Source organism: Homo sapiens, chromosome 18 (assembly GCF_000001405.40).
Source record: "Homo sapiens chromosome 18, GRCh38.p14 Primary Assembly".
In the NCBI taxonomy this organism is placed as follows: Eukaryota; Metazoa; Chordata; class Mammalia; order Primates; family Hominidae; genus Homo; species Homo sapiens.
Genome location: NC_000018.10, coordinates 50,186,885 through 50,209,119, shown reverse-complemented (window position 1 = coordinate 50,209,119; position 22,235 = coordinate 50,186,885). Strand labels below are relative to the sequence as shown.

The window sequence follows — 22,235 nt, the reverse complement described above, 5'->3', positions numbered from 1 at the left end:
TTGAGTGGAAGGGGTAGACGGGAAATTATGAGATAGAAATGAGATCATTCTAGAATGTGAAGTGATACAATGAAAGAGAAATGGAGAGAATGCAATAACAGATACGGTTATCAGAGGCATTCCTGATTATGTACTATTCTGATTAGGCTGGAAAGATGAGAAATCACAGGCTTGAGGGTTATAGGGCCACTGCGCCCAGTCTATGGATCAATAATATTTTTAAAAATCAAAATTAATGCAAAAAGTCCACAAAGCATGAAATATCAAAATTTTAAATAAAGACAGGATCTGGCAGTGCTATGCTCAACCATGTTGGAATCAGAGGCCAAAAGAAAAATGTGTGTCTGTATAGACATGCCTTAATGTATTTCTTCAGTGGTTAACTTTTTCCAGAAGTAGATATTATTGATTGATCCAGAAAATATTATTGATGAGCTTGCTTCATTAAAGCCAGTGAAGTTATACTAACTTCTGGTTTTGTTATTATGCAGTTAAAGATTAATTCAGCAGGCTTGAGGTGTCCAACCCTGCACATTCCAAAGAAAGGATGGACCCTTGAGGCTCCCGGGAGATATAACCTGTGAGTTCTTGGAATTCTGCCTGATATGAGTGTCTTTGTCTTCCTAGAGACTTGGACTACCCTAGATAGCTTCTTATTTTTTATTTTAGAGATGGAGTCTCACTCCGTTGCCCAGGCTGGAGTGCAGTGACACGATCATAGTTCACTGCAGCCTCGAATTCCTGGGCTGAAGCCATCCTCTTGCCTCAGATTCCTGAGTAGTTAAGACTATGGGAACATGCCACTACACCCAGCTAATTTAAAAAATTTTTTGTATAGGCAGGATCTTGTTCTGTGCCCAGGCTGGTCTCGAACTCCCAGCCTCAAGCAGTCCTCCTGCCTCAGCCCCTCAGAGCACTGGGATTACAGGCATGAGCTACTGCACCTGGCCTATCCCGGATTTATACTAACGATGTAATTTTTGTTGAAACCTGTTGTTGTTCACCTGGGAACCTGGGCCATGCTGTATTCATTTCACCTCTGGAGGTGGGAGAAATGAAGACTGGCCCCCAGTGAAAACCTTGCAAGTTTGGGTGAGCTTCCCTGCTTGGCAATACTTCCTCCATGTTGTCACACATCATTGCTGGGTGCTCTCCCTACAATTCTCCTTGTTAAGGACAATGGAAGCTTATGTCTCGTCTCTTCTGGACTCTGCCCTGTGCACTTTTTTTCCTTTGCTGATTGTAATCTGCATCCTTTCATTGTAATAAGCCAAAACCATGACTATAACAGCTTTTTTGAATTCTGTGAGTCCTTCTAGCAAATCCTCAAACCTGGAGTCCTGGAGATCCCTTAACACAAGTATAATAAAATATTTAAGCTTAACATAATGTGCATTTTAACAACCCACTTTAAAATTTTTCAATATTTTTTAACTCCTTTAAGATCCTGGGAAAAGTTAACCTTTAAAAATATACAGCTGGGGCTGGGCGTGGTGGCTCACGCCTGTAATCCCAGCACATTGGGAGGCCGAGGCAGGCGGATCACCTGAGGTCGGGAGTTTGAGACTAGCCTGACCAACATGGAGAAACCCTGTCTCTACTAAAAATACAAAAATTAGCCAGGCGTGGTGGCGCATGCCTGCAATCCCAGCTACTCGGGAGACTGAGGCAGGAGAATTGCTTGAACCCGGGATGCGGAGGTTGCAGTGAGCCGAGATCGCGCCATTGCACTGCAGCCTGGGCAACAAGAGCGAAACTCCATCTCTCTCTCTCTCTCTCTATACACACACACACACACACACACACACACACACACACACACACACACATATATATATACAGTTGGGCATGGTGGCACATGTTTATAGTCCCAGCTACTCCAGAGGCTAAAGCAAGAGGATTGCTTGGGTTCAGGAGTTCTGGGCTGTAGTGTGTTATGCTGACCGGGTGTCTGCACTAAGTTTGGCATCAACATAGTGAACTCCCAGGAGCTGGGATCACCAGGTTGCCTAAGGAGGGGTGAACCAGCCCAGGTCAGAAACTGAGCAGGTCAAAATTCCTGATCGAGGCTGTGAACAGCCACCGTACTCCAGGCTGGGCAACATAGTGAGACCCTGCCTCTTAAAAAGAAATACAAGGCTGAGTGCGGTGGCTCATGCCTGTAAACCCAGCAGTTTGGGAGGCTGAGGTGGGTGGATCACCTGAGGTCAGGAGTTTGAGACCAATCTGACCAATGTGGCGAAACCCTGTCTCTACTAAAAATACAAAAATTAGCTGGGCGCGGTGGTGGGCGCCTGTAATTCCAGCTACTTGGGCGGCTGAGACATGAGAATAGCTTGAACCTGGGAGGCGGTTGCAGTGAGCCGAGATTGCGCCATTGCACTCCAGCCTGGGCAACGGAGTGAGACTCCAGCTCAAAAAAAAATGTATATAGGGGCACACATTTTTACCTCTGGCCTTTGGATTCTATATGGCTTAGCATGGCACTCCTGAATCCTGTCTTTATTTAAATTTGTGTTTTTTTTCGTCATGGACCTTTTTTTTTTTTTTTTTTTTTTGCTATTGCATTAAATTATTGTCCTAATGTCTTGAGTACTAAGTTTTCTTGGTGCTTATTTAAATTTTGGGCCTGAGGTGAATGTCAGGGGTAGAGCCTTCCAGGGAAGGAGCCAGTAGCTTCAAATAGCCTGAGGTGAGAATAAGCACAGCATGTTTGAGGAACAGAAAGAAGGGATTGAGGTCGGGAGCTCAAAGTAAGAAAGGAGAAGGGCAGGAAGAGATGAGGTCAAATAAATGGAAGTGGAGAGACCAAGCAGGTGGTTTTTGCAGTAGCCCAGCAGGAAATGGCTGGGGCTGGTGGAGGGTGGCACCACTGGAGATGGAAAAGGTGCCTGATTTGGGATGTGCCTTGGAGATTGAACTATTAGGCTTTGCTGATGGATTAGAATTGAGAATTGAGGAAAATGGGCTGGGCGCGGTGGCTCACACCTGTAATCCCAGCAGTCTGGGAGGCCGAGATGGCGGATCGCTTGAGTCCAGGAGTTTGAGACCAGCCTGGGCAACATGGTAAAACCCCATCTCTATTTCTTAAAAAAATTTAAAAAAAAAAATAGGCCAGGCTCGGTGGCTCGTACCTGTAATCACAGCACTTTGGGAGGCCGAGGCGGGCAGATCACCTGAGGTCAGGAGTTCGAGACCAGCCTGGCCAATATGGTGACACCCCGTCTCTACTAAAAATACAAAAATTAGCTGGGCGTGGTGGCGCGTGCCTGTAGTCCCGGCTACTCAGGAGGCTGAGGCAGGAGAATGGCTTGAACCTTGGAGGCGGAGGTTGCAGTGAGCCGAGATCACACCATTGCACTCCAGGCTGGGTGACAGAGTGAGACTCCATCTCAAAAGAAAAAAAAAAAAAAGAAAAACAGAATTGAGGGAAATAGAGGAATCAAGGATGATGCCTAGCCTAGGATTTCGGCTTGATGGTAAGTGGTGATGCTATGTATCAATATGGTTAAGATTTGGGGAAGAACATGCATGTGGGGTGAAAATTAAGATTTTCATTTTGGTAATATAAGTCAGAGATACCCTTAGACACATATGTGGAAAAGGCAAGTAGGCAGCTGTATGTTTGGGCTGGGCCCCCAAAAGACATTTTATTCTTCTGTAAATCTCTGTAATCTCAGGGAGTGTCTGAAACATAGTGGGTGTTTAACAAATGATGTTTAGATGAATTTTTGTTTAAAGGAATCAGAAATATATAAGACTCAGAGTTAGAAAATGACTTAGGATTCTATGCCACATTTAGATTCTTTTTGGTAGATAACAATTAGTTGCCCAAGAAGGTTGTGGTGGCTACAGGTGATAGAGAAAGCAGTTCATTCAGCCCACGTGCTGCCACTTATTAGACAAGCTTTCAGCGGCAAGCTGGTCCAGAACTGGCTTGGTAAGCTTGATGAGGTTTCAGCACTCTTGCCTTTTAGGGGTTCTGATCACACCTGTAAGGCAGGGTTACTTGAGGCTGCCTGTATACAAGGTTCATTCATTGCAGCATTCAGAGGCAGGAGTTCGTGCTTCTAGTCAGCTTTTTACAACCAGATGTCCTCTTCCACCATCGGCTGGACACCAGGCCAAATTAGGATCCAGCCTTGGGCACCCTCCCTCACGGTGCAGGTTATAGGGCACTCCAGATTCTTGCTCTGGCGTGTTCTGGCAAGAGTGAGGAGTGTCTCTAGCCTACCCCTAAATCTTGAATACCCATCATTTAACCAAAGAGATCCAACTTCTAACATGCATCCTGCAATTTCACAAGTCACCAATAAAAACTCATTTGACATTCAGTCTGTTAGTTAGCCTAGACATGGTGATTGATTGAAATGTGATAGCAGAAGGATGTGTGGTGGCTACATCTAGAGTGTGGCCTTTTGGGATGTGCCCGCTGACTGCCCTGGAATGGAGATTCTTCACAGCCTGTCACCTGGCCACCCCTAGAATTTAAGCTCAAATTAACTGAGTGGGACTGTAGTATTTCAGAGTATATAACAGAAAATCTTCCCTAGTTCCCTGATCTTTGAAAGTGGTAGATGGAAGAGCCAATCCTCTCATTTTACTAATGAGAAATCAGAGGCTCAGAGAGGAAGCGGGACCGCCCAAAGTCACCCCCGTGGTTGGCGGTGCGGCAGCTCTTGGCCTGGGCATTTCTGGGAATAGGAAGATGATAGGGGCTCCCGAGACCCGCTTGAGTAGCAGAGAATTTCACAATCTCTCCCCACCTGCCTGGCTCAGAAAGTTTACCCTTCACCCCACATCACCTGGTAATAAATCAAAATGGAACCATTAAACCAAAGCCTTGCTGTGGGGACCATGTTTCAACCTGATTCTAGGGGAGACTTCCTCTCAGGTGAAGTGAGAGGGATTGAAAAATGAGAAAACGCAGAAACAGAACTAGCTGTTGGGAAAAGTGTCCAGAAGAGGGCGTGAGACGCTGGGGATAAAACATTCCCGCGGCCTCTGCGATCTTCCGGAAAGGGACCGGCAGCTGCTTAGGTGAGAGCCGATTGTGGTGAGGGGCAAGTGTCTGTTGGAGGACTGGAGGCTCAGAACACTTCAGTGGGGTGTGGAGGAGACTGTGCGTTCGCCGACGGTGGTATCACATTTCCTCTGATCCATGTCACCTCATTTTTCTCCTCCCTCCTCTCCATCCAAGCTCCAATAGACTCGTCATTTCATTCTGGGGTTGGCGGGGAGGTGTCATTACAGTTATTTATATACAGCCCGTGAGCCCTGGGAACAGCCTCTAGGGGCAGGAATTTTGGAGGTTCTGCGAAAGCATAAACCACACTGTTATGCCTCCCTCTTCTTCAAAGAGAAGAAGCTAGCCCCACCACCCCTTTTCAGCAGTCAGGATGCCTCCTAGGAAGCAAAGCCGCTCATTCCATTTCGGATTAAAGGCGAGGTTTATGTGAAACACCCCCCAAAGGAAGCACATGACTTACAGTCGTACTGAGTTGTAAGAAACTGATATCAAACCTTCCTAGGGAGCAAGCTTTAAGATGCGGGTTTCCTCCCTCAAGGCTATCAATCCAGCATTTGTGACAACAGCTCTAAGCTTTCTTGGGCACCATAAGCCAGGTGTAAGGAGGGCAGCCACCAGGGAACCACCAGTGATTCCAAGCAGGGGTACAGCCCACCCTCCACCCGGTGGCAAAATAGCATCCTTGACAGTGATAATCCAGCCTCTGCTTGCATTCTTCCAGGGACAGCACGCTCAATTCTTCATGAGATGCCTGGTCCTCTCTTGATGGTTTTTCTTATTTGAATGTTGTACTTATGCTTCATGGTTGTCCAGGATTTATTACCCTGAAACTTCCTCCCTGTGGGCCTGGCCTCTATTAATCAGCTTAATCTCTCTTTCACAAAACTGATTTTTAAGTATTTAAGAACACGATGTCCCTATCTCTCTTGTTGGGGGTCCCCAGTCCTCACCATTCCTCAGACCTCAGAGTCTTTTTTTCCTAAACTAAACAACTCCAATAACCTCCACTCATCCTCACATGTTAGAGCTCCACCATGGAAGAATGTTGGAGCGGAAGTCTGGGTCAGGGGGTCGGGGACTGTGCCAGGGCCTCCCCGTACAAAGAGTAACAGAAGTTACTGCTGAAGCTGCAGAGGCTGGGTGCTAACTTGAAACAGGTGAAAAAATAAGTCTGTATTGTCTCAAGAGAGACTTGGAGATGAGCATAGACTAAACTGGCAGGCTGAAAGCGTTTCACAGCATCAAGATGGTTAACACCAATTTAAATCCTGAATTCCTAAGAAAGTCCTAATGTGAGGAGCTGTGGAAGTGGCTGTCCTCCACCCCAGGGGCTTTAGACTTTCTTGCTTTTTTTTTTTTTTTTTTTTCTGCCAGGGTCTTGCTCTGGTTGCCCAGGTTGGAGTGCAGCGGCATGACCACAGCTCACTGCAGCCTTGACCTTCTGGGTTCAAGCAATCCTCCCATCTCTGCCTCCTAAGTATCCGGGACTACAGATGCATGACACCACACCTGGCTAATATATTTGTGTAGAGATGGGGTTTCCCTATGTTGCTCAGGATGATCTGAAACTCTTGGGCTCAAGTGATCCTCCATCTTGGCCTCCCAAAGCGTTAGGGTTATAGGTGTGAGCCATCATGCCCAGCTGACTTTCTTGCTCTTATATTCTCAAAATGAATTTTTTAAAAGCTGTATGTCTCCATACATTTTGGATATTTTCTAAGTTTCCATAGTTGAAAAGGATGTAATTTTGCTGTATCTAGTCACTTAAAATACTATATTACTGTTTTAAATGAACCCAATGGACTCTAACTGTCCTAGCAATTTGATAACTTCCATTGCCCATTTTTAAAATACACAAACAAGTTATTTAAATCAATTATTTTTTGTTCCTTAAGCCTGAAACTCCATTCCACTTTTTCCACGGAATTTTATCCTACATTTTTTTGTGGTAGAAGTCCTTTTAATAACCACCCTATAATAATTAACCACAACAAAAATAGCTATATAAATTAATATATTTTAAAAATTTCCAGTGGTCTAAGTATTAAAATTATTTTGAATTATCACAAATAGTATTACTGCACAGCTTCAAAAATCTATTCCTATTTTTGTTATAAGTGCTGAGAGGAATCTTGTTTGCATAAATAAATAGATAGGAAGGCAAGTTTTGTTGGAACAGCGTCCTTCAATTCTTTGAATTCCTTCTGAGTTGCCAAAAATTACATAGTGATCCATCAAAAGATTGTTTTTAATAATCTGTCAGCTGACCACTGGCTTAAGTCCTGCTTCAATTTTGTTGATAGCACAGAAGTGGAAACTACTTGAGCTGCAAAAGAATTTGTGGCCCCTTCTTTAGTTACTTGCTTTCTCAACACCAAATTTCTAAGTGTCCTTGTGTGTGGCATCATGCTTTGGCTACCTGGGCAAACCACCATCCTACTACTCAGGAGGTCTGAGAATGTGTCTTTTGCAAAGGGAGAGAAAGGGACCTGGGAACTGAGACCTGAGAATGACCCTTGCCTAATTGCAGGCCTGATTTTTTTCAAATCAGTGTTTAGGAAGAAATACATATGGAGGTATAGGATCTGGACACCAATTCCTTTAAAACAAAATATGGGAATAACAACATGAATAGTCTTGGTGTACAGGGCCCCACAAACCCCAATTTGAAGATGGCCACTTTAGTAGGTATTTGGGGAATGAACCTGCCATCATGAGGAGAGAATTTGCTAGAATGAAATTCTTATCAGTAAGCCAAGGATCACAGAACACTTTTGTATATAATTATATTAGTCATCTATCACTACATAGCAAATTATCCTCAAACGTAGTGGTTTTAAACAACACATTTATTATCACACAGTTTACATGGGTCACAGAATTATATCACAGTTTCTTTAAGGTAGATGCAGCTTTATGGGATCCTTGCTTCAGGGTGGATCACATGGTTGCAATCAAAGTGTCAGCTGGGGATGAGGTCTCATCTGAAAGCTCATTGTATTACTCAGGGTTATCTAGAGGGACAGAACTAATGGAATATATATATGAGTTTATTCAGTATTAACTCACACAATTACCAGCTCCCACAGTAGGCCGTCTGCAGGCTGAGGAGCAAAGAGAGCCAGTTGGAGTTCCAAAGCTGAAGAACTTGGAGTCCGATGTTTGAGGGCAGGAAGCATCCAGTAGGGGAGAAAGATGTAGGCTGGGAGGCTAGGCCAGTCTCTCTTTTCCCATTTTTCTGCCTGCTTTTTATTCTAGCCATGCTGGCAGCTAATTAGATTGTGCTCACCCGGATTGAGGGTGGATCTGCCTTTCCCAACCCCACTGACTCAAATGTTAATCTCCTTTGGCAATACCCTCACAGACACACCCAGGATAAATACTTCATATCCTTCAATCAAGTTGACACCCAGTATTAACAATCACACTCATTTGGACAAGAATCTCCTTCCAAGCTTACTCACATAGTTGTTGGGAGAATTTGGTCCCTCAAGGGCCATTGGACTGAAGCCTCCCTTATTTCCTTGCCATATGGGCCTTTCCACAGCAACTCTTCCTCAGGGCAAGCATATGACAAGAGCCAGAGAGAGTTCCAGTAAGACAAAACTCACAGTCCTTTATAATTTAATGAATCTGGCATGCCATCATTTTTGCTGTATTTTATTGTTAGAACCAAATCTCTAGGTCTAGCCCACACATAAATGGAAGAGATTACACAAAAGGACACCATTAGGAGGTGAGAAATATTGGGAGCCATTTCAGAAGCAGCCCATAATCAGGCTTTAATGACCACCTGTTGGGGAAAACAACTTCAACCTTATTCCCATGTCTCAGGGACTACTATTTCAACCATATTTCCATTTCTTGGATACAATGTGGAAAACTCAATTCAGTACTCAAATCTGTATGAGAGAAGCAGTGGATTGCCAGCTGGCTGAGGGTGATGAGGACATTATGGACCTCTGGAAATGAGAGAGGACCTGCAGAAGTTCAATGACTGTGCTGGCTGCCTCACAGGATAATGAGTTCTCCATCCGCAGCAGTGTCTAATCAGAGACTGGGTGGTCCCACATTTGGGAAGGTGAGCATTCTTGCACTGGGCATTAGGCTAGATGACCTCCACCCCAAAAACTGTGATTCAGGGTCAGTGAGTCCATGCCCAGTTTTTAGTTCAGGGATAAGTTTGTTTTCTCCCACCCTTTCTTCCATGCAGGTAAAGTTGTCCCCTTTTCATGTTTAGGGAGTTTATATTCCAACTGTGAATATACTTTATGGCTCCTCATCCAGATCCAGAATTCACTTTATTCATTCCCTTGCCCTGGTTTGGGGGGGCCAGACCTCAGGAGAAATCCTGACATAATTTAAGACAAGTTTTCTGGAAGAGACAGAATTTGGAGAGAAAGGAGTCTAACGGATTATGTTATTATTGAAAACATTTGCTGTCCTGTTCTGGTTGCTCCTCCAGTCAGTGCCCTGCCCTGATAATTTCAGAAGCAGCCCTGCATCTTGTTTTGGCCAATGAGATGTGAGTGTATCCCTCTCAGTATTGAAATGTGAGTCAGTCCTCAAGCAGAAGCTTTAGAAGCTGGAACGGGGTTTGCTGCATCTCTTTTCCTTCCACCACAACACAGGGAAGCTTCCAGATGGGAGCCCAAAGGAAAGTCTCTAGAGCAGAGCCGCATCCAACCCACGGTAGGTACGTAATATGAGCAAGAAAGACAGCCTTTGTTTAAGGAACTGAGGTTTTCAGGATAGAGCAGGAAAGGGGGAAGATATGAATCTGTTTGGTAAAGGAGAGGATATAAGAAAATTATTATTATTTTTGGAAACAGAGTCTCACTCTGTTGCCCAGGCTGGAGTACACTGGCACAATCTCAGCTCACTGCCCCCTCCGCCCCCTGGGTTCAAGAGATTCTCCTGCCTCAGCCTCCCAAGTAGCTGGGTCTGCAGGCATGCTAATTTTTGTATTTTTAGTAGAGATGGGGTTTCACCATGTGGGCCAGGCTGGTTGTGAACTCCTGACCTCAAGTGATCCGCCTCAGCCTCCCAAAGTGCTGGGATTACAGGTATGAGCCACTGTGTCCAGCCCATAAGAAAATAATTTTAACTGTCACTGTATAGTTTATAAACCGCTTTCACAGAAGGGCCAGTGAATAAGAAGCCTTCTTCTTAGTGGAATCCCTCCTCTCTTTCTTTGCTTATGCAAATTTTTCTGTTTAGTAATCCCTTTATTTTCTCTTTTCCACTAATTAATGAGCAGTACTTCCTTTAAGACTTGGCTCAAAACATATCTCTATTTACCTACTATTTACTGTGATCAACTTTGTGCAAGTCATGTTCTAGGAAGTGCAGAGGACACAAATATGGATCAGGTGTGGTCCCTGCCCTCAAGACTCTTAGAACCTAGTGGTGAGGAGGAGAAAGGGATATTAGTTCACATATCATACAGGGTGCAAATGAATGCCTTGGAAGTTCACTTTTTATTATTTGTGTGAGGGAAATCCTCACCTGTCAGGAAGGAGACTAAGGCATTTCCAACAGGTATCTTCTTTTTACTTTGAGAAGCCGTGGAGCACAGAGCAATGTTTCTCAAAGTGTGGGCCCTACACCACCTGGGATATGTATTAAATTTGCAGACTCATAGGCCGGGCATGGTGGCTCACGTCTGTCATCCCAGCACTTTGGGGGCCAAGGTGGGCAGATCACCTGAGGTTGATCCATCTCTGCTAAACCCCGTCTCTACTAAAAATACAAAATCAGCCAGGCATGGTGGCGCATGCCTATAATCCCAGTTACTCGGGAGGCTGAGGCAGGAGAATCGCTTGAACCCGGGAGGCGGAGGTTGCGGTGAGCTGAGATGGCACCACTGCACTCCAGCCTGAGCAGCAAGAGCAAAACTCCATCTCAAAAAAAAAAAAAAAAAAAAATTCAGACTCATTGATCATGTCTCTGACCAACTGAATTAACATCCCCTGATAGCCCCTTAATCCTGGTACACACTGAAGTTCAACATCCATTGACATAAAAAGCAAGGGTTAGACGCTCGAGTGAGACTTTAATTGAACAGTAGCTGTCTGACCTAGAGTGTTTTTCACACCCTTCTTCCCTAAGCCTCACTTTGCCCATCTGTGAAACAGCCTTAATATTCTGAACCTCCTTTATAAGGTTGCTCTGAGGCTTCAACAGGATCACAGAAGTAAAGCGCTTGGTATGTTTCCTGGATCAAGTAAGTTTTAAAATGTCTTTATTGTTCAAAGGAGGGAAACACCATATCTGATTGTGGAATTAGAAATTCACAAAGCTCTGGCCAAGTGTAGGACTCAGGAATGCGATTCAGTTCAGTTAACATGAATTGAGCTTTTCATTTGTGCCAGGTGTGATGGAAGCCAGACAGTTGGAACCAGTTACGGGTGGGGAGAAAGGATGGAAACAAATGAATGTCAGGTTGGTCCGAGGTCCAAGTGGCATTGTTACCATTGCCTATCTGCAGGTGGAAAGGTGGATCTTGAGTAAGGTTAGAATTAGATTTGAGAATTAGCATTGTGAGCAAGAGACAAAATGGGGGCGTGGCTGAGAAGAAAGATGAGATCTCTGAAATGGAGCATAGTTTTATTCAGAAACCAGGAAGAGGACGCAGGCCTAGAAAATAATGTTGAGAAGGTTTGGTTAGAGAGGCTGAGAAAACAAGAGAAAAATAGTACTCAGGGAAGAGATGGTTTAACGTAATGGGTTGAATCAATTCCCACCCCATGCTTCACAGTGATGAGGCAATTTCAATAGGATAGGTCTGAGTGGAAGCCAAATAAGAAGAAATTAGAACAGCAACATTTATTTATTTATTTATTTATTTATTTATTATTTTTTAAAGATGGAGTCTTGTTCTGTCACCCAGGCTGGAGTGCAGTGGTGTGGTCTCGGCTCACTGCAACCTCCACCTCCCAGGTTCAAGCGATTCTCCTGCCTCAGCCTTCCAAGTAGCTAGGATTACAGGCATGCGCCACCACGCCCAGCTAATTTTTGTACTTTTAGTAGAGACGGGGTTTCACCATGTTAGCCAGGCTGGTCTTGAACTCCTGACTTCAAGTGATCGGCCCACATTGGCCTCCCGAAGTGCTGGGATTATAGGCATGAGCCACCACACCCGGCCAGAACAGCAGCTCTTAAACTTGGCTGCCATTAGAACCATCTGGGAGCTCTTCAGAATCCTTTCACCCAGGGCAACACCCCCCAGACAAGTTAAATCAGAATTTCTGGGAGTGGGAACCAGACATCCACTTGTTTCAAAAGTGATTCTGATGTGCATAAAGTGTTGAGAATCAGAGAATTAAGGAGGTACTGGGCGTAAGTGGAGATAGCTAAATAAGTGAAGCTACTGCTTTAAGAAGTTTAGCAGGAGAGGAAAACACAAAAAGCCAGGGGCCAGTGGAGAGAGGAAGAGTTGCTGGTAGAGAGATGGGACCACTAATGGTGGTGGAGGAAGAGGCCAGGATCTAGGCAGGACTGATGACTTTCTTATTCAAAAAGGGGAGAATCACCTGGAGGCAGAAAGAACAATGAGTACTGGCCCCACACCAGAGTTTATGGTTCAGTAGGTCTGCAGTGGAGCCCAATAACTTGTATTTCTAACAGTTACCAGGTGATGCTGATGGTGGGCGTGGGGGGTGGGGACACACTTTAAGAGCTACAGGAATCCGGGGAAGGGAAATATGCAGAAAAACTTTTGAGGAAGAGAAAAAAATCCCTTTCTGCTCTTGCCACTGATGTGAAGAGTTCCATTTTTAGGTCCAATGAGAGCCGCCCAAGCTTTGGTCAATGCATTTGTCACCCTGGAAGTACCATCCTTTAGACTTTCAGAGGAGCTTTAAAAATTGGGATACCCAGGTCCCATCCTTCATTATATCAGAATTCCTTGGGTTGGGGCCTCTTCCTTGGAACGCTTAAAGCTCCCCATGTGACTCTCATTGTGGAGGTGCCCATGGGAAGGCCTGCACAGGTGAATTACAACGGGATCTTGAGTTCCAGGTGGGATGCCTCTGAGAATCACCTTCTGGGGCTCTTGAACAACTGCCCCGGCTGGTACAGATATATCTTCCGGTTGAGAACCACTTTTCAGGGGCCACCCCTGGGTCAGGGACAGATGTCAGCTTCAGAAGGGAGTGTCTCCTCTGACAGCCCCTCGTCTCCCTCCACAGACTTCTGGCAGTTTTTTTTTTTTTTTCTTGGTTGAAATTTCTACTTTTCACTGGAAGTAGGAGAGGAGCTGAAGTTGCTGCAGGCAGCCAAGTGCCATGGTCAGAGAGGGAACACAAATAAACGAGGTAGTGAGTGGCAAAAGGACCCGGAGTCTGCATGTAGACGAGACGGGGGTTGGGAGAACGTGAGACTTCCCGGAAAAGCAGAAGCCCTCTGAGATGAGTGGCCTGGAGTCTCCTTGGAGGCTGTGGGCGAAAGTGGACAATATTTGTACAGAAGGAGTTACGACTCCCACTTTACTGACAAGGATTTCCGCGCAGAGAGTTCAGTTTGAAGGAGAAGATCCCTGGTGTATGTATATCCAGGTCGCCTTAATAACGATCTACGAGTAACTGAATTTTAATCATGAAAGCGCTGAATACAGCCAGGTAAAATCGAGGGCAATGTCTGGGGCCTTCCAGCCATAGACGCTTCTCTTTTTTCCCCCCTCTCTGGTTAGTTCCTCTTCCCTTTTCTTGTCTGCACCGCGTTCATGCCGGACTCCGCGGGGCCCGGTGCGGGTGGAAGCGGAGCGCGGCAGGGCAGGTGCGGGCGCCGGGGCGCACCTGTGCCTGCGCGCGCGCGGCGTCCAGCAGGGGGCGGCCCGCGCCGGTCCCGGAGCTCCTCTCTGAGCGCCCCGCCCCCGGCCCGGAGGCCCAGGTGGCAGCGGGGGCGCGGGAGGGCGCGTCGGGCCGGGCACCGGCAGGGCTCAGAGGCGCGGCGGCGCACGGGCCGTCCGCTCTGACGCGAGCGGGTCCTCCCTCCTCGCCGGCCCTCGCCTCCTCCCCACACCTGGGAGGGGAGTGGTGCGGCGCGGCCTCCTCCCCCGGCGCTCGCAACTCCTGTCCGGCCGTAGCTGCGCCGCCGCGGCGGGAGTAAAGGTCGCGCCGCCGGGAGCGAGCCGGCCGCGGCGCCTGCGGGAAGCCGGCGGGGCAGGTCGGAGAAGAGCGAGAAGATCGAGAAACTCCAGGCCAGCCCGGGAACATGGCGCCAGGCGGGCCAGCCGCGGACTGAGAGCCGCGGGGCAGCCAGGAGCCGGGGCCCGAGCCCCGCCCGGCCCGGGCCATGTCGGTGGGCGAGCTCTACAGCCAGGTGAGCGCGGCCGCGAGGGAGGCGCCCCGGGGCCGGGGTGGCGCGCTCGGGGCCACCTAGTACTCAGGGTCGCCTTCTCCCTCGGCTACTGGAGGCGGGAGGTGACGGGAGACCCCCCTCCGCGGTGTCCTCCTCGTCACTGTCCTCGGAGTCCCTAACTTCGGTTGGCGGAGAAAGTTTGGCGGTTCCGGGAACGCCCGCACTGACCGGCCACCCGGCTCCTAGAGGTTCCGCAGCGCCACGGCTCAGCACCAAGCCAGGGCTGTCGCCCCCTCCCCGCCGCGCCCCTCACTTTCGTTGCCTGGGCTCGGCTCCAACCGAGTTCCCCGAACGGCAGGGCGACCCTGCCAGCTCTGAGCGCCGTGCGCGGGACGGGCCCCCGCGGTGCTCCCGCTGCTGTCCCCTGTCCCCGCCGTGGACCCCACCCCAGGGGCTCTGCGGCGCCGGCTCTCGAGGGCGCGCCTCCGAGGCGTCCTTTCCTCCCGCATACCCACAACAGGGAACCCTGGACTTGGGAGAGGTGGGGGTTCTGGACTTGGTGGAGAGGGAGGAGACAACCTGGCGTGAGGGCGCGGCGGCTGGATGGAGTGAGGGTAAGCAATGGGTAGAGGGGTGCGCCGTTATCTCCGGAGACCCCAGGGAAGAGCATTGTGAATTTGCTGGGGATGGATGTTTTGACGCGGCCTCTTTGGTACAAAGAGGGCTTCAGTGACTGCGGGGAGGGGGTTGGAGTAAAGTCGAACCGGGAGCAGGGTGTGAGTTTCAGGATGCCTTCAAGGTCAGAAGGGATGTGTGAGGCTGGGTGCTCCGAATCGGGAACAGGTGCAGCCCGGGCGGAGACGCCCGCGTTCCGCAGCAGTTGCTGTGGTTAAAGTTAGGGACAAGCCACCGCTTCCAGGGGAGCTCGCGGCAGCGCTGCAGCCGCCCGGGACCCCTCGAGTTTCAACCTGGAGTCAGTAGTGAGAGGGGCAAAGGCCTTTTCTTCACATGTGCCCTATGCACCTTTAAGAAAACAAGTTTTGGATAGTCCAATGCCTGGTTTTCCTGTTCGTCTTCTTGGGTGGCCAAAACACGTTTAACAGTGCCTATGCACACGCCTCCATGCAGAGTTGTGTGTGCGTGTGGTGTCCACGCGCGTTGCGTGGGTATGCGATTCCCGGGACACCCGCCCGGGCCAACAGGTCTGGGCTGGGTAGGAACAGTCACTTCCGCGTCCTTACCTGGCGATCACACGCGGCTGTCTAGCCCATGTGGGAGCCCTTCGGCTCCGTGGGCTGGCCACCCTTCTAAGTTTGAGGAATTATTCAACTCTCCCATTCCTCCTGGAGGGGAGCAGGGCCGGGATGAGTTCATGCTCAGGAAGGTGGCCGCGGAGGCTGTCACCTGGCTGGGGGTGGGGCCGCAGCAGCCTCAAATACAGCTTCCGAGCCCACCAGGGGCCACCTGTGCAGCGATCAGGGATGGGCGACGGCCTCTGGGGGAGGAGGGGAGGAGGTGGGAGCCAGGGCGTGAACTCTGTGACAGTCCTGGCCCTGGAACGGCACCCCACCCCTCTTAGCTGTGGAGGTATTGGGAGGATCCCTAAAAGCTCAGCTTTCAGTTCTTTCACTGAAGCCGGTTAGGTTTTCAGGAGCTGGGACTGGAGGCTGGAAGCCAGTGAGGCAGGGGAAAAATCTGAACTGGAGTGCTCAAAGAGCCGAAGCTTTGTTACATTAAAGTGCATGGAGATACAACTTGTGCTCCTAAGTAAAAGGAGTGACTCAACTGAATATACCTACAATGTGTCAAAGTCCTTTGTCAGGCAATATTGAATTGCTGTATTATATGAGGGGGAAAGTTTGTGGGGGAAAAATGGAGTTAAAAGATTAAAAATATAAACTTTATTTCTCAACACAGTTTCCATCAAGTTCAAGACACTTTTTTAAGTTATACCAGCCACTTAGTTCGTCCCTAAAGAACTGAGGGTCCTGGGAATTTAACCATGTCAATGCAGTCTCTTTTACATTATTAACTGGAAAAGATGCAGGTCATTTAGTTCAAGATTAGGACACAAAGTCAGAAGGAGCCAAATCAGGACTGTGAGGTGGACGCCTAATAGTTTTCCACAGAAACTCTTGCAAAATTGCTCTTCTTTGAGAGGAATGAGAAGGAGCATTGTTGTGGCAGAAAAGGACTTTCTGGTGAAGTTTCCTGGGTGTTTTTCTGCTAAAGCTTTGGCTTCCTAAAGACACTCATAATAAGCAGATGTCTTCATCATTTGGCCTTCTAGAAAGACAACAAGCAAAATGGCTTGAGCATTCCCCCAAAATGTTGCTGTGATCTCTGCTCTGAACCAGTCCATCTTTGCTGTGACTGGACCTCTTCCACCTCTTGGCAGTCTTTGCTTTGATTGGGCTTTGTCTTCAGGATTGTACTGGGAGAGCCACATTTCATCCCGTTACAATTCAAAGAAATGCTTCAGGGTCTTGATCTCACTTGTTTAGAATTTCCATCGAAAGCTCTGCTGTTGTCTGCAGTTGATCTGGGTGCAGCAGTTTTGGTATCCATCAAGTGCGAACTTTGCTCAACTTTGTTTTCGGTCAGAATCATGTAAGCTGAACCAATTGAGATGTCTGTGGTGTTGGCTATTGTTTCTACCATTGTCAGCCCTCTTCAATTAGGGCACAAACAAGCTACATTTTTTTTTTTTTTCTCTCAAATGGGTGTGGATGGTCTGCTGGTACAGGCTTCATCTTTGACATCGCTTCGTCCCTTCTTCAAATGAATTATCCACTTAAAAACTGATTGTCCCCATAAACTTTTCATAAAGTCATGATTTCACAATTCTTCTCTCCACACTTCGTCATAAATTTGATGTTTGGTCTTGCTTCAATTTTAGTAGAATTCATGTTGCCCTGATAGGGGCTTCTTTTCAAACTGATGACTTAACTTTCTTAGTGCCTCAAACTAGACCCTGTTCTAGATCCCATTCATACTTGTTATAACAAGTATAAAACTATGGGTTTGTTTTGGTGCAGAAAACTCTGAAATCCATGTGAATTTTTTTCCATGATATGCATTTTCCATGACCTTGAAATAGTGCTCATATGAGGCTAATGGACAATTGAATAAACCCTTAATCTTCGGAGCCCTAGTTTTGAAGAACAAGAATTAATATCGGATTGCTTTTAAAGACAATACTTGTAGGAGAAAACACTCAATTTGATTTTTAGTTAGAAATGAATACATTGCATGTTAATTCTTAGGAATGATGAAGTAGTGGGAGTCTGAACTTGGGTTTCAGTGTACTTTTTCTCAGGTTATGGAGATGTACAAAACTGGTGTCACCAGAGAAAGGTCTTGGATATAAGACACTTAAAAAGTAGCTTCATTGGTGTGAGGGGTTGGCATAATTAATCCCAAACAAATATTAGAGTTCTTCCCTAAGGGCTGCTGGGCTGCACCTTGCTCTGTTAATGGGTTTCCAGTTCTTAATCATTTAGGGTCTTGATTATGAAATTAAGGAGATTTTCTGGGACCCAAGACAGTATCTTCTAGATTTATGTTTTGAGCAGTTGTTATTCTTCCTGGCAATTAACACACTTGTGCTTTACTATGAGAAGCAGTTGTGTAGTTGCCTAACCATGGTCTCCCCACTTGCCAAGCTGGCTTCTCAGTATGCATGTGAATCATAAGTTACACAGGGAAGTCGTGCCTGCTACTCAGATTCACTTTGTTTCTTAGAGATTATTCATTTTAGTGTATTATCAAAATAGCCAATGTTCCCTTTTATTTTTAACTTGCTAGTGGGCTTTCCTAATGTGATGAACACTGGAGCCAGACACACACATCAATGTATTATGTATGATGGAAATAATTACCCATTATGCTAACAGCATTTATACATTTTTGGGAATGGAAAATTTAAAGCCCTTTGATTATACCTGTTGCTTTTGTGATAGTTAGAAGATGTTATTATTGGAATATGAAACATTTAAATATATATTAGCTTGTATTAAATACTGTTCAGTAAGAAATTAGTGTATTTCTAGTTATCTAAGAAAATAGTTTCTTTTTCCCTCCATCCAATTAAATGTGTTCTTGCTCTTCTTGATCTGTTCCCTTCAAGTGGCAGTTTATATGTTATGTGATTTTTTTTTGGTAGGTCGGGGGCCAAAGGGCACTTCTCTTTGAACAGAGACACTCCTGTTCTCAGAAGACCCAACACCTCACCTTTGAGAAATTGTTTTCTTTGTAGTGAGGTTTTTCTGGATGGAGAAAGAGCACCAGTCAGTGCCAGACACTTTCAGGGTGATGTCAAAGTGAGTCAGTCTCATTCACTCTCACATCAGCTCCAAAGGTGGAGCTGATGATGGTCTCTGTTGTCACAGTGGCATGCATGTGGTCAGTGTGAGTGCTTGGCTTCCAACCCATTGGAAAAGACAATGTGGGCTTTGCTTTGCATAGATCCAGAAAGAAGCCCACACATGTGCAAGCATGGTGAATACCATTTCATCATGATGATTGCAGATAGTAGTCTGATTTTAAAGCATAAAATGTAACCTCTCCTTCTCAGGCTGAATAATACAACTCTTATCTATAGAAGAGTTACTTGGAACAAAAAATTTAAATACTGCTATTTCAAATACCTGGATTTTCAATATGCTACTTTGATTCTAGCCAGCAGAGTGAATGAGAAATCATCAAATTGAAACTGGTGCCTTGAAACCAGTGCCTTCAAATAACCTTTTTTCCTGCTTGGCTTCTAATTGATAGGTAGTGTCTGAGCAGTGGGTTTTTGAGTGCTGCTGGGAGGTTACTTTACTGGCAGACACACCATATGTATGGCAGCTTTGCACCCAGGAGCCTTTACTAAGGGCGCGATTTGGGACCAATCATTTGAAAAATAGATCTTCTGTGCTTTTGGGCAGGTGTCCTTTAACAGTCCCTTACCTATACCTCAGGTAATGTAAGTTTCTCCCAAGTGTCAGTCTGAAGGCAGCAAGAGCCACCTGTTTCCTCTGTACCCAGTCACCCCTGCTGGAGGGGCTGATGATTCCTTCTTTTGCTGGTGGCTCTGAGTGATGTTCTTTTTTCCAAAAAGTGGTGACAGTGTTAAAGACATGAGGACTTGAAAAGTGTCAGCAGATGCTGTTAGTGCTCCTATTGTTTCCCCCTTACTCCCTTCCCTGCATACTGCCTTGGTGTTAGCTCACTCCCAATAGCCAGCACCCATCTCTTTGTCAAAGCTCCTGAAGCTGTTTTGCCTGTGTGCATAGGGAGCCTGGGAATTGACACTCTGCAAAAGGGAACAGTCCTTAACCAATGGCACTGTAATGACATTAGTTTCCTATCTTGTCACCTTGAGAATGGAACAGCTCTAAAGTATGACCCATACTGTTTTCAGTTTCTTTGTACAGTTGAACTAAAGTTACCATGCTTGGGACTTTCCTTAGTATCACATGTTAGCTTGACTTCCTTCCCTCTCTTGTCCACCTTCTCTACTCCCCTACCAGTCTTTTCCGGAAAACACTGCCTTACAAGTCTCTTGAGCAGGAATCCTTGTCTCAGGATCAGATTCTAGGAGCCCAAGTTAACCATAACTCATGGTGGCTTAGCTTAGTGGATGTTGAGAATCTCAAGGGCTTTGGCCCCTCTATGGTCCCAGGAAAGGCTGAAAAGAAGCATGGAGGTTGTGTGTCATGCTGTCACTTTCCTTCTGAGGCTCATTCTCTGTCTTGCATGTGGTTTTTTTCTTCTCTCATCCCTAGTTCCAATTCCGTTGATCCTCTGCTCCCCGTTTTCAGATGGGCCTATAAGCCCAGTGGATCCTGCTTCACCATGTTGGCGATCATCAGAATTTTGAAGTTTGTACTTGTGACTTGTGGATGTGGCATATTCCAATGGCCTGTAACCTGTAATCATTGAGCAGGCTCTTGCCCTGCCCTCCTTTGTTGATAGGTGTGTGTGTTTTTTTTTTTTTTTTTTTTTTTTTTTTTTTTATGACAGAGTCTCACTGTGTCACCAGTCTAGAGTGCAGTGGAACGATCTCAGCTCACTGCAACCTCTGCCTCCTGGGTTCGAGTGATTCTGCGGCCTCAGCCTCCTGAGTATCTGGGACTACAGGTGTGTGCCACCACTCCCGGCTACTTTTTGTATTTTTAGTAGAGACGGGGTTTTACCATGTTGGCCAGGATGGTCTCAATCTCTTGACCTCATGATCTACCCACCTCAGCCTTGTTGATAGTTTTTATGTGATGCTTTATCTAAGTAGGCTGAGATTCTGGAGAACAGAGGCCATACCAGATGTTTTTAGGAGCCTTCAGTGTGTTTGGTGATAAAAGCTAAATACACAAAGTACACTAACAATACAGGATTATCTGTGTGTCATTAGAGGAGTGCACATACTCCTCTACAAGTTACAGGCATTTTGTAGAAGTGTTGGTCTGGTGGGCTACAGTATTGCGGGAAAGGCTTCCTTTAAGGTGTAGTGGGACATGACTGGGGCCTAAAGAATGAATAGGATTTGAAATGCATGAGGAGGCTGTAAAGAAGGATGTTCTCTCAGGAGGAGACAGGGGAGAGTGAGTTTAAGCATAGGGACAGGTATGAGCTAGATGTATATGGGGATAATTATAGCACTATTTTTAACTATTTTGAAATATACACTTACAGAAACATTGCAAAAATAGTGCAGTTTCTATATTTTTCCAGATTGCTCCAGTGTTAACATGTCATATAACCATAGTGCAATTATTGAAACCAGGAGGTTAACATTTCTGTAATACTACTAACTGGTCTATAAAGCTCACCGGAATTTTACCACCTTTTTCACTAATGTTCTTTTTCTGGGCCAGGATCCTGTTTAGGGTTCCACATTGCCTTTAGGGTTGTAGCTCCCTGCCCCCCTCTAGTGACAGTTGCTCAGTTTTTTGTCTTTCATGACCTTGACACTTGAAGAACATTGGTCAAGCCAGGCACAGTCACTCACACCTGTAATCCTAGCACTTTGGGAGGCCAAGATGGGAGGATCCCTTAAACCCAGGAGTTCGAGACTAGCCTGGACAACATAGCGAGACCTCATCTCTACAAAAAATAGAAAAAATTAGCTGGGTGTGATGGCATGCACCTGTGGTCCTAGCTACTCTGGAGGCCGAGGTGGGAGGATTGCTTGAGCCTGGGAGTTGAGGTAGCAGTGAGCTGTGATTGTGCCACTGCACTCCAGGCTGGGTGACAGAGTGAGACCCTGTCTGCCCACCGCCCACCCCCCCAAAAAAAGCATTTCTCAATAATTTTGTAGAATGATTTTGGGTTTGTCAGACTGTCTTATGCTTACATGGAGGTTGTGACTTTTGGGCAAGAACACATCATAAATGCTGTGCCTTTCTCACTGCATCACCTCAGGAGACAGTGATATCAATGTGTCCTGTTACTGACGGATCACTTTGATCCCTTGGTTAAGCTGATGCCTGTCAGTTTCCTTTTATTGAAGAATGGAATTTAGAAATGAAGATCTGGTTGCTAGGTGTACTCATTACTACTTTTTGTAGTTATGTAGAAATTACAGAGACTAGAACTCAATAAATGTTTTATTAAGGGCAAGGGAAGTAGAAGAGTCAACTATGAACTTGAAATATCCACCTTGAGTGTGGACAGAAGTCAGGTTGGAGCAGGGATAATTCTTGATTTTTGACATGTTGGGTTTGGGATGAAAATGGTTTGTCTAAGTGAAAGCATTTATTTACATTTGGAGATTTACGAAAGAGCTTAGAGGAGAAATGTCAGGATCTGGGGTTCTTGCAAATGATGCCTGGGATTTGCTTTTCTTTAATGAAGAAATGCAGTTGTCTGATAGCATGGTGTTAATAAGGGTAAGATCAGGAGCTTGGTATGGGCATTTCCA

The 22,235-nt window shown here is 46.3% G+C and overlaps 1 protein-coding gene and 1 pseudogene across 1 annotated transcript in view, besides 2 other annotated features; both read left to right on the top strand.

Moving 5' to 3' along the window:
• On the top strand, positions 1,845–2,122 carry RN7SL310P (RNA, 7SL, cytoplasmic 310, pseudogene; annotated as a pseudogene).
• Positions 13,759–13,998: a silencer, noted in NCBI's record as "silent region_9454". NCBI's record gives its function as "represses an Ori minimal core promoter by ATAC-STARR-seq in GM12878 lymphoblastoid cells {active_cell/tissue: GM12878}" and the evidence as "EXISTENCE:reporter gene assay evidence [ECO:0000049][PMID:35858748]".
• MYO5B (myosin VB) overlaps positions 13,973–22,235 on the top strand; it is a 372,359-nt gene continuing 364,096 nt past the window's right edge. Inside the window, exon 1 of the mRNA NM_001080467.3 lies at positions 13,973–14,353. Coding sequence (NP_001073936.1) covers positions 14,327–14,353 — 27 coding nt within the window. The 5' untranslated portion in view covers positions 13,973–14,326. The remainder of the gene's footprint in view (positions 14,354–22,235) is intronic.
• Positions 14,059–14,298: a silencer, noted in NCBI's record as "silent region_9453". NCBI's record gives its function as "represses an Ori minimal core promoter by ATAC-STARR-seq in GM12878 lymphoblastoid cells {active_cell/tissue: GM12878}" and the evidence as "EXISTENCE:reporter gene assay evidence [ECO:0000049][PMID:35858748]".